This window comes from Homo sapiens, chromosome 14 (assembly GCF_000001405.40).
Source record: "Homo sapiens chromosome 14, GRCh38.p14 Primary Assembly".
Classification (NCBI taxonomy): Eukaryota; Metazoa; Chordata; class Mammalia; order Primates; family Hominidae; genus Homo; species Homo sapiens.
Window position 1 is genome coordinate 88,375,466 of NC_000014.9, and position 12,368 is coordinate 88,387,833.

General features: G+C 39.0%; 1 protein-coding gene across 11 annotated transcripts in view, besides 3 other annotated features; it reads left to right on the top strand.

Annotated features, from left to right (window-relative positions):
• Nucleotides 9,875-9,954: an enhancer, noted in NCBI's record as "active region_8838". NCBI's record gives its function as "activates an Ori minimal core promoter by ATAC-STARR-seq in GM12878 lymphoblastoid cells {active_cell/tissue: GM12878}" and the evidence as "EXISTENCE:reporter gene assay evidence [ECO:0000049][PMID:35858748]".
• Nucleotides 9,985-10,054: an enhancer, noted in NCBI's record as "active region_8839". NCBI's record gives its function as "activates an Ori minimal core promoter by ATAC-STARR-seq in GM12878 lymphoblastoid cells {active_cell/tissue: GM12878}" and the evidence as "EXISTENCE:reporter gene assay evidence [ECO:0000049][PMID:35858748]".
• Nucleotides 10,065-10,384: an enhancer, noted in NCBI's record as "active region_8840". NCBI's record gives its function as "activates an Ori minimal core promoter by ATAC-STARR-seq in GM12878 lymphoblastoid cells {active_cell/tissue: GM12878}" and the evidence as "EXISTENCE:reporter gene assay evidence [ECO:0000049][PMID:35858748]".
• The window catches only part of SPATA7 (spermatogenesis associated 7), an 84,694-nt gene continuing 82,517 nt past the window's right edge, over nucleotides 10,192-12,368 (top strand). For all 11 annotated transcript variants that reach the window (XM_006720205.2, XM_047431581.1, XM_047431584.1 and 8 more), the window contains exon 1: nucleotides 10,192-10,372. In XM_006720205.2, coding sequence (XP_006720268.1) covers nucleotides 10,354-10,372 — 19 coding nt within the window. In that variant the 5' untranslated portion in view covers nucleotides 10,192-10,353. The remainder of the gene's footprint in view (nucleotides 10,373-12,368) is intronic.

Sequence of the window (12,368 nt, forward strand, 5' to 3'; positions counted from 1 at the left end):
ACCAGAAATACCATTTGACCCAGCAATCTCATTACTGGGTATATACCCAAAGGATTATAAATCATCCTACTATAAAGACACATGCACACGTTTGTTTACTGTAGCACTATTCACAACAGCAAAGACTTGGAACCAACCCAAATGCCCATCAATGATAGACTGGATAAAGAAAATGTGACACATATACACCATGGAATACTATGCAGCCATAAAAAATGATGAGTTCATGTCCTTTGCAGGAATATGGATGAAGCTGGAAACCATCATTCTCAGCAAACTAACACAGGAACAGAAAACCAAACACTGCATGTTCTCACTCATAAATAGGAGTCTGCATGTTCTCACTCATAAATAGGAGTCAAATAATGAGAACACATGGACACAGGGAGGGGAATATCACACACCAGGGACTGTCAGGGCATGGGTGACAAGGGGAGGGATAGCATTAGGAGAAATACCAAATGTAGATGACGGGTTAATGGGTGGAGCAAACCACCATGGCATATGTATACCTCTGTAACAAACCTGCACGTTCTGCACATGTATCCCAGAAGTTAAAGTATAATTTAAAAAATTAGCCTGTAAAAATTTACAATCTATTGTAAATGGGATTTCTTGATTTCTTTTTTGGATTGTTCACTGTTGGCATATAGAAATGCTACTGACTTTTGTATGTTGATTTTGTATCCTACAAATTTACTGAATATATATATCTCAGTTCTAATAGTTTTTTTATTCAGTCTTTAGATTTTTCCAAATATAAGATCATATCATCTGCAAACAAGGATAATTTGATTTCCTTTCCAATTTAGATGCCCTGTATTTCTTTTTCTTGTCTGATCACTCTAGCTAGGACTTCTAGAATTATGTTGAATAACAGTGGTGAAAGTGGGCATCCTTGTCATGTTCCAGATTGTACAGAAAATGCTTTCAGTTTTTCCCCATTCAGCATACTAGCTGTCTGTCAGTCATATATTGCTTTCATTATGTTAAAGTATGTTTCTTCTACACCAAGTTTTTTGAAGACTTTTACCATGAAGTGATGTTGAATTTTTTCAAATGCTTTTTCAGCATCAATTTAAATGATCATATGGTTTTTGTCCTTCATTCTGTTGATATGATGTATCACATTGGTTGATTTGTGTATGTTGAACCATCCTTGCATCCCAGGGATATATCCCACTTGGTCATGGTTAATAATATTTGTAATATGTTGTTGAATTTAATTTACTAGCATTTTGTTGAAGATTTTTGCATTAATATTCTTCAGAGATATTGGCCTGGAGTTTTCTTTCTTTGATTTATCTTTGTTATTGGAATCAGAGTAAGACTGGCCTTGTAGAATGAGTTTGCAAGTATTTCCTCCACCTTGATTTTTTGGAAATAATTTGAATAAAATTGGCATTTGTTCTTCTTTAAATGTTTGCTGGAATTCAGCAGTGAAACCATCAAGTCCTGGGCTTTTCTTTACTGGGAGACCTTTTTTTTTTTTGAGATGGAGTCTCACTCTGTTGCCCAGGCTGGAGTGCAGTGGCACGATCTTGGCTCACTGAAGCCTTCGCCTCCCAGGTTCAAGTGATTCTTCTGCCTCAGCCTCCTGAGTAGCTGGGATTACAGGCATGCACAATCATGCCCAGCTAATTTTTGTGTTTTTGGTACAGACAGGGTTTCACCATGTTAGCCAGGCTGGTCTTGAACTCCTGACCTCAGGTGATCCACTCGCCTCAGCCTCCCAAAGTGCTGGGATTACAGGCATGAGCCACCACGCCCAGCCAGACTTTTTATTAAGGCTTTGATCTCATTACTTGTTATTTGTCTGTTAAGGTTTTGGATTTCTTCATGATTCAATCTTGGTAGGTAGTCTATATCTAGGAATTTATCCATTTCTACTAGATTTTCCAATTTATTGACTTATAGTTGCTCATAGTAGCCTGTAATGATCTTTTGAATTTCTCCAGTATCTGTTGTAATGTCACCTTTTTCATTTCTAATTTTATCCATCTTCTGTTTTTTCTTACATGTTTGACTAAAAGTTTCTCAATTTTATCTTTTCAAAAAAATCAACTATTTCATTGATCTTTTGTATTTTTTCCTTAAATTTCCATTTCATTTATTTCTGTTCTGATTTGTATTGTTTCTTCTCTTCTACTACTTTTGGGTTAGATTTGCTCTTGCATTTCTATTTAAGATGCATTATTAGGTTATTTGAAGTTTTTCCTCTTTTTTGATGTAGGTGCTTATAACTATAAACATCCCTGTTAGTAGCACTTTCATTGTGTCTTGTAGGTTTTAGCATATTGTGGACTATTATCATTTGTTTTAAGAAATTTTTCAATTTCCTTCTTAATCTCTTTTTTGACCCACTGGTCATTCAAAAGCATATTATTTAATTTTCATGTATTTATATGGTTTCCAAAATTCCTCTTGTTATTGATTTCTAGTTTTATTTCATTGTGGCCACAGAAGATATCATTTCAACTTTTCAAATGTTTTAAGACTTGTTTTGTGACCTAATATATGGTCTGTCCTTCAGAGTGATCCATGTGATGAAGAAAAAAAAATCTGTGTTCTACAGCCATTGGATAACATGTTCTGTACATATCTGTTAGGCCCATTTGGTCTATAGCACAGATTAAATATGTTTTTGATTTTTTTTTTTTTTTTGTCTGGAAGATCTGTCTAGTGCTGAAAGTGAGGTGTTGAAGTCTCCAGCTACTATTGTATTGGAGGCTATCTATCTCTTTAATACTAGTAATATTTGCTTTATATATCTGGGCACTACAGTGTTGGGGGCATATATGTTTACAACTGTTACATCGTCTCGCTGAATTGACCCCTTTATTATTATATAATGGCCTTCTTTGTCTCTTCTTAAGTTTTTGTCTTAAAATCTATTTTGTCTGATATAAGTATAGCTACTTCTGCTCTTTTTTGGTTTCCATTGACATGGAGAATCTTTTTCCATCACTTTATTTTTAGTTTTTGTGTGTCATTATAGGTGAAGTGTGTTTCTTGCAGCCACAGATAATTGGGTCTTATTTTTTTTTTTATCCATTCAGCCAGTCTATGTTTTTTGATTGGAAAGTTTAGACCTTTTACATTCAATGTTATTATTGACAAGTAAGGAGTTACTCCTCTCATTTTGCTATTTATTTTCTGATTGTTCTGTGGTCTTTGCTCCCTTCTTTCCTTCCTTCCTGTCTCCCTTTTAGTGAAGGTAATTTATTTTCTCTGGTGGTAGTATTTAATTTCTTGCTTTCTATTTTTTGTGTATCTGTTGTATGTTTTTTGATTTGAGGTTACCATGAGGCTTGCAAATATTATCTTGTATTTATTATCATTAATTATTTTAAGCTAATAACACTGCTTGCATAAACTAACAAGCAAAAAAAAACCAATAAAAATTCTACACTTTAACTTCATCCCCCAGCTTTTTAACTTTCTGTTGTATCTATTTATATCTTATTGTACAGTCTATGTCTTGAAAAGTTGTAATTATTATTTTTGATTTCATCTTTTAGTCTTTCTACTTAAGGGTACTTTCCACTCTACAGTTACAGTGTCATAATTTTCTGTGTTTTCCTGTATATTGACTACTACCAGTGAGTTTTGTCCCTTCGGATGATTTCTTATTGCTCATTAATGCCCATTTCTTCCTGATTGAGGTGCTCTCTTTAGGGGAGTACTTGTAAGACAAGTCTTGTGTTGATGAAATCCCTCAGCTTTTGTTTATCTGGCAAGGTCTTTATTTCTCCTTCATGTCTGAAGAATATTTTCACTGGATATACTATTCTCGGGTAAAAGTCTTTTGTCTTCAGCACTTTAAATATGTCATGCCACTCTCTCCTGGCCTGTAAGGTTTCCACTGAAAAGTCTGCTGCCAGATGTATTGGAGCTCTAGTGTATGTTACTTGTTTCTTTTTCGTGCTGCTTTTAGGATTCTTTCTTTATCCTTGACCTTTGGGGGTTTGATTATTATATGCCTTGATGTAGCTTTCTTTGGATTAAATCTGCTTGGTGTTCTGTAGCCTTCTTGTACTTGGATAGTGACATCTTTCTCTAAGTTTCAAAAGTTCTCTTTTATTATTTATTCAAATAAACTTTCTATCCCTATCTCTTTTTCTACCTCAACTTTAAGGCCAATAACTCTTAGATTTTCCCTTTTGAGGCTATTTTCTAGATCTTGTAAGCATGTTTCATTGTTTTTTTATTCTTTTTTCTTTTGTCTCTTCTGACTGTGTATTTTCAAATAGCCTGTCTTCAAGCTCTCTAATTCTTTCTTCTGCTCGATCAATTCTGCTATTAAGATACTCTGATGCATTCTTCATCAGCTGTGTAGCCTGGGGTTGGTGAGGCGGGACAAAGAGGGAGAGGTGCAAGCACTCTTAGCTTCCCCAGCTGGTATCTTAATAGGTCACACGTCCCACCCTCCAACTCAATCTACTGGCTTTGAGCCCAGCTCAATACCAGGACTTGCATAAGAATTGCAGTTCTTGTGGCCTAAACTGCCCCTCAAGTTCACTTAGGGCCCCAGTGCCTCCAGCCCACAGTGGCAAGCCTTGCCAGAACTCAAGCTCCAATTGCTGGAATGGGCAATTACCCTCTGCCTTGGGCCGGTCCAAATGCCCCCTCCATGGGCAGGCATCAGCTGAGTACAGCTCAGTTTGCTTTCTGCTGTGATGGGGCAGCACTGAGTCTAATGCAAAGCCTCATGACCGCTGTGCTCCCCCTCTCTGAAGCACAGAGATTCTCTCCAACAGGGAGCTGCTGCTGGGGAATGGGGGAGGAGACAGGGATGGCATCAGCAATTTAAGACTGTCTTTCCTACCCTCTTTGGTGCCTCTTTCAGTCATGTGAAATCAAAGCCAGGCACTGAGAGTGCTCCCTTGATTTTTGGTTCCTATGAAGATTACTCCCTTTGTGTAGACAGTTGTCAAGCTAGGTGTTCCTGAGAAGGAATGATTGGCAGAGCCTTCTATTCGGCTATCTCACTCCGCCCCTCCCCTGGAATCACTTTTTAAAATGTTTGTCAGTTGCACGTTACATTGCTTGAATAAGATTTGTAGGTAATATTGCCTTAGCATGGCTGCTTTCCTCACAGGGATGGAGCTTAAAACTTTCCTAAAGCCCCCTCTAGTGACAAACAGCAAATTATTATCCATTATTTCATACCTCCAAGCTCTAAATACCTCCAAGCTCTAAAGTTCCATTTTCTCATTTAGTTATTAGATGAATCAATTGCTACATTATTTCAATTAGAGAATGACTGAGAAATAGTTAATAGCTCAAATTCTCAAGCATTCTTAAATCACTGAAACCTAAGCAATTTTGTTTTGAGACTGAGGTCAGCACAGTGCACATTTAACTCTATAATTTTACTCTGCCCTCATACATATAATTTTTAAGGATTCCCTAAATTTCCTTCATTTTTGTCTTTCAGGAACTTTAAGGGTTAAAATATGTTCGCAATAACTCAATAAATAGAAAAATGTTGTTTTGAACTTTGGCTTCTTGTTGTTTTCACTGTATTTACTGGAACATTTTCTAAACACACAAATATAAATTCCAGGAATCCTCTGAATTATGAAACTAAGGGTCATCCATAAAGACATAGATTAAATATATAATAATAACATAATGCTTAAAATAATAATATATAATAAAACAGAATAAACAATAAACTATATATTATTTGCATAACTATAGGTTATGGTATTAAAATATATAGTTTATTTCACTTATATAAAATTGAAATATATTGTATATTTCAAATATATAAAAGCCCATTTCCAAAGGGCTTAGAGCTCATCCAATAAGACAGGCCTAATTAAACCATTAAAAGAAGAAGTCATATTCCTAATAAAGGGAATTAACGAGATAAATTTTTAAAAGGCTATGAATATTTATTTCAACTGAGCACAAATCTTAGTTTTGAGGTTCCTGTAAGCTAATACAAAAAAAGAAACCCAGTAATTGATTAGTTCATGCCAATTCATTAAGGGAAACAAAGTATTTCCGTCTAAAACACACATATGGGTCAGGCACAGTGGCTCATGCCTGTAATCCCAGAACTTTAGGAGGCTATGGCAGGTGGATCACTTTAGGCCTGGAGTTTCAGACCAGCCTGGCCAACATGGCAAAACCCTGTCTCTACTAAAAATACAAAAATTAGCCAGGCATGGTGGCTCACGCCTGTAATCCAGCACTTTGGGAGGCTGAGGCGGGTGGATTGCCTGAGCTCAGGAGTTCAAGACCAGCCTGAGCAACACAGCGAAACCCCGTCTCTACTAAAATACAAAAGAAATTAGCTGGGTGTGGTGGCATGCACCTGTAGTCCCAATTACTCGGCAGGCTGAGGCAGGAGGATTGCTTGAATCCGGGAGGCGGAGGTTGCAGTGAGTCAAGATCACACCACCGCACTCCGCCTGAGCGATGGAGCGAGATTTCGTCTCTACAAAAATAAATAAATAAATAAACAAACAAAAACACATATGCAGATTTCTAAATGTCAATAACAAGATTATAGCATTGGAATAATTTCAGAACATGAAATTCAGGTGTAAACATATATATTCAACAAAAGGTCTTCAGAATGCCTACTCTCCAAGGCCATTGCAGCTGGTGATGATTTTCCCAATAGAAGGGTGTTTCTTGGGAGCTCACCCTATAATAAACTCATACCAGCTGTATCCATCACCCATGATCATGAATTATTTCCTGGGAATAGCAACCAGAAAGAATCTTCTCTCTTGTTTACATACATAGAGCCAAAGCAAAGGACAAATTAAATTGCACTTAGGATAACATGTTCATTGCTAAAATTTGAGAGACATAGACCCTATTATGCACACATTCTTGAAATAATTGGAACAAAATATTGAAAGGGAAATAATGAAATAGATGGCTTCAGACAAAGTTGGGTACCAGACAATATGGTCTCCAGAAGTTTCTCCCATTCTGCTGCCCTCTCCAGATCACGCACCCCCCCGTTCTACTTGAAAACAAAATCTACTTGTCATCCTAAAGTCTACTTTTCTAAGAGGAGCTGGTATCACCTTCCCTGAGTCAAGTCACTGTGTTGCTTATCCCAAGGGTGTTTGCCTTGGGTTCCTTGTTTCTAATTCAATTTAACAAATGCTTACTGGAGGCCTATTATATGCAAAGTATTTGCTAGCTGCCAGTAGTGAAATAAAGGCCTTCATGATCTTAGAAATGGATTTCAGGCAATAATGAGTACCTAGGAAGGAGTTTTTGTTCTCTGCATGATATGATTTGGCTCTGTGTCCCCCTCCAAATTTCATGTTGAACTGTAATCCCCATGTTGGGGGAGGTACCTAGTGAGAGGTAATTGGATCATGGGGGTGGATTTTCCCCTTGTCGTTCTCATGATAGTGAGTTCTCATGAGATATGTTTGTTAAAACATGTGTAGCACTTTCCTCTTCGCTCTCTCTCCCTCCTACTCTGCCATGTGAAGAAGCTACTTGCTTCCCCTTTGCCCTTCCACCATGATAGTGTTTCCTGAGGCCTCCCCAGCCATGCTTTCTGTACAGCCTATGGAACTGTGAGTCAATTAAACCTCTTTTCTTCATAAATTACCCAGTCTCAGGTAGTTCTTTACAGTAATGTGAGAATGAACTAATAGACTGCATAACATCTGACTCCCTGCCCCTGTATCCTTCCAAATTACTTTTGTTGTTGGGGCCACAGAGCCATCACACACACTTCAACATGCCTCCAATTTTGAATCATTGTCTGCCTACCCTGGGTTTTAGGAAAACAGGGGTTCAAGCGTTATTATAACCGGGTTTCTGATTTATTTCTCCTTCCTTGTTACAGAGTTTCTGACTTACTCCCTCAAGCCTGAATTCCCTGATACCCAGCTCTGCTGAGATAGGAATCTCAGAAGAGAGAAAGCTAACATTTATTGAATACATTCTTTTATTTGCCAGGCACTGTTAATTCTTTTAACTATAAAATTAGTAGCATCATTTTTTCATCCCAAGCAACAGAGAGGTAGACTGTTGATGAAAAGAGTCAAACTCTGTAAAATATTTTTAGAGATTTATTCTGAGCCAAATATGAGTGACCCTCAGGAGGTCCTGAGAACATGTGCCCAAAGTGGTTGAGGTGCAGCTTGGTTTTATACATTTTAGGGAGGCATGAGACATCAATCAAATAAGAAATACATTGGTTTGGTTCAGAAAGGTGGGACAACTCAATGAGTATGTAAATTTAAACATTTCCTGGTTGACAATTGGTTGAGTTTATCTGAAGGCCTGGGATCAATAAAAAGGAAATGTTGGGGTTAAGATAAAAGATTGTGGAGACCAAGTTTATTGTGCAGAGGAAGCTCTCAGTATAGCAGACCTCAGAGAGAGAGCAGATTGTAAAATTTGTCTTGTCGGACCTAAAAGGGTGCCTGGCTCTTAGTTGGTTATCTCCTGGATTTGGAAAGGAAAGAAGGAAAACAAAGGGGAAAAGAGATTCTCTATAGAATGTGGTTTTTTCCCACAAGAGATTTTGCAGGGCAATTTCAAGATATGGCAAGGAAATATATCTTGGGGTTAAATATTTTGATTTTTTTTTCCTTGTCTCATAATATTATGCCAGAATCAGATTGGAAAGTAAGTCATGGTATATAGAGTCAAATAAAACCCATCTGATAAGAATTTATGGTTTCTAGGGCATGACTCCCTAGACACCTTAGATAGGAATTTGGGCAAGATAAAAAAATTAGAGCTTAGTCCTCAACTCTACAGAAGAAAATGACATTTACCCAGGAATGGGCATTGCAATAGGAATATGCGTGCCATGGCAAACTGTTTGCATATTCAAGGAATTAAAGGAAAAAAAAGTTTTTTTAAAAAATAAAAAAAGGAGAGGATTACATAATTGTTTTGAGGTAATTAGCCTTGGCTCCAAGCATCAATAACAAGGGTGATGTCAGTTCAAGGTTGGACAGACAATTGCTGGACAGATGTCCTCATAGAAGTATCTTTTTGGGTAAGGTGGAGGTCTTTGTGCAAGGTTGTGGTTTTCGCAGTATTTTGTGATAGTTTTATTATCAGGCATTCATGGATGAGAACTCTCCTTCATGGCCTTCTCCAGTTCCACTTGTCAGGTTTTCTAACACATGTGACTCTATTTTTGATTCTGACAACTTTCACAATCTACATTAGAAAAGAGAAAACTGGGGCTCAGAAAGTTTTAGAAACTAATTCAAGATCAAGCTGGTAAGTAGCAAAAAATTTAGAATTAAGTTCTACATATCTGGTTCCAAAACCAGGACTCTTTTCATTACAGCAGTGGTTCTCAACAGAGTTGCGATTTTGCCCCCCAGGGAATATTTCACAATGTCTGGAGACATTTATGACTGTCAGGATTGGAGGTGGAGTGGGTGGGGTCTGCTTCTGAGAAGCTACTTGCTTCTAGTAAACGGAGGACAGGGATGCTACAAAACAGTTCATAGGGACAGCACCCCCACAACAGAGAATTATACAACCAGCCCAAAATGTCAATGGACATTTGGGCTGAGAAGTCTTACATGACAGAATGCTTCCTACCCTGATCTGACGTTATTTCCAAGGATTCAAAGGTAACTGCTTCAAAATTAAACAAATTATAGAAAGCCATCAATAAATCAACCCCTTATTCATGTTGCAGCTCTCTTCCATTATAAATAAAAATGGATTGAAACTTACGATAAAAGGGAGGCAGGGACAGGAGCGGGGAAGCTTGGCGAGCAGAAAGGAAATTCAAACTTATTATTAAGGTTAAGAATTAAGATGTAAATATGTAGATGTTTTTCACCCCTAGGATTTTCACTAATCCAAAAGTTCACGGACTGCTTTGAAATTTAATTATTTGGAACTGGTTAAATGTTACCCTGACCTCAGCTAACATTTGTGTTTCACTTTTCTCCGGGACCCAGGGGACGTGGATGCCAGATGAGTCCACCTCCTCTCCCTGCTCTTCCCGCAGGGACAGAGCCTGCCAGGTGCTGGTGACTCGGATCCTGACAGGAGGTCGCTCTGCGGAAGACTGGCAGGATCCCAGAGCAACAGACTGGGGCTCGATGCCCCTTCCCCGCCAGGTCTCTCCGTCCGCAACTGTCCTCCTAGTACCGGGTATCCCGCAGGCGGGGCTGCGGAACGCACGTCCCCTGCGCCGTGACGTCACAATAGCGACTCACTGGACCCAGCCCTTAGCAACGGCCTGGCAACGGTTTCCCTGCTGCTGCAGCCCCCGTCGGCTCCTCTTTTCCAGTCCTCCACTGCCGGGGCTGGGCCCGGCCGCGGGAAGGACCGAAGGGGATACAGCGTGTCCCTGCGGCGGCTGCAAGAGGACTAAGCATGGATGGCAGCCGGAGAGGTAAAGGGCAGCTGTCAGGGGCTACCGCCGCCTCGCCCCTCGCTCCAGGCGGCGCTCCCAGCCTCGGGTCCGGGCAGCTGAGTGCAAGGCCGCCCCTTGGGGCGCTTCCTACCCCTGGCTGAGTCGCCAGTGTTGCCTGGAGCTGCCCAGGCCTGCGCAAAGGAAGAGGGAGAGCCTGCTTGCCAGCCTCGCAGGTCCGCTTCTTTGCCCTGAATTTGTCGCCCTGACACCAGGGGCCCCTGTCTCCTGAACTCAGGGTCGTGCAGCCTTTAAAACCTCAGTAGCTCCCAGGCAGAGGAACCAGGTTTGGTCTTTGGAGTCAGACCTCCCCGGGCCCCAAATCAAACCCCTCTGCTCTCCATGGAGACGACCCTCAGTTTTCTTATCTCTTGAACGTGAGGGTCAAATACCCAGGCCATGGAGTTCTTGAGGATTAAATGCAGATAATATAGAGAAGATCCTGGCGCATTTGAAGTGGTCAGTAAATACGAAATCTCCCAGTAACGAACTACCTCCCCCAAAGCTACTGAGTAACCCAGGGTTTCTGTAACTTTCTGTGAATAGGAATCCCCTCAGGGTCATGTTAAAATGCAGATTATGATTCAGTAGGTCCCTTGGGGGTGGCTGAGATTTTGCATTTATAATAAATTCCAAGTAATGCGGTGTTGCTGGTCAGCGGACTGCAGTTTTAGCAGCAATCCGTACTCACCATATACACCTGTTCTCTACTGATTTCTTGAGTCAGGTGGACATCATGTGGTGGGGTTGGGGGTGGGGAAATACAATCTTAAATATCTACAAATCGGCCCAAACCAAATAATTTGCATTTTCACACTTTCTGAGCCAGTATCATTCTTTCCTCGAGTCAAATGAGGCAATCTTTATAGACTCCCCGCCCCTCCCAATTCAGTGTTTTTATCTATTTAAAAGACTGCCTTTAAACCAAGCTGCTAGATGATTCCTTGATGTCTTTCTTTGAATGAGTCTGCCTTTATTATATAGTCATTGATCAAAATAAGTGCTACTCCGAATGTAGGAGATAACTATTCATTGATCAGCAAACTATTCTGACACTTCACCAACCTAGGTTTCAGAAAAAGCAAATCAAAACGCTTTATGATCTTAAGAAATTTTGCATATAAACTAACATTAAACCCTTGCTATGTACTAGGAACTATTTCCAAATTATCTCATTTAATGTACAAAAATACCTTGATAGGCATTAGCCTTATTTCATAGTGAAGAAACTAAAGCAAAAGATCACAAATAACTTGCCAAGATCACAGCGGCAGAACAGGATTTGAATCTAGGTGAAGAATATAAATCTGAAGCCAATGCATTTACTTACTATCCCATGGTAGGGATGGGCAGGGGGAAAGGATAAATGTAACATTTAGAGTATGGTAGATTTAGTAAGTTGTCAGTATTTGTTTATTGAATTATTTTAAAAATTGGGTTCATGCCAAATGTAAAAAGGTTTATATTTTTACAACTTGCACAATTTAATTAGCTTCATTTTTAGGAAATAATATATGATAATGTCAAATACTGTTATTTTGAATTTTTAAAATAAATGTAATCACCAAATAACCAGGGCAGTCAGCTTTCATGTACTGTAAATTAATAGGAAACCATAAATAATTTTAGACACAGCTAAAATAATTGAGAATAAATTTCTTAGATTTCATTAGGAGGTGCTTTTAGTTATTTCAGAGCATAAAATATTAAAACATCTAAAGAAAAATTATCTTTTGTCATGCTCTTACTGTAATCACGTTTTAGACATTCTTTTGTAAGGCAAGCCTTCTAAATGGTGGTATAGTACAGCACCAGACTGAAAAACGGTTAGTCTTGTTTGTAATCTTTGTTTCCTACTAACTAACTAGGTAATCTTCAGCATGTCACTGTACGTCCCTGGGCCTCAGTTATTTATAAAATGGGGGCTTGGACTAGGTATATATAAGGCATGGTTTCCAGCTTCCTATGGGGGAAGGTG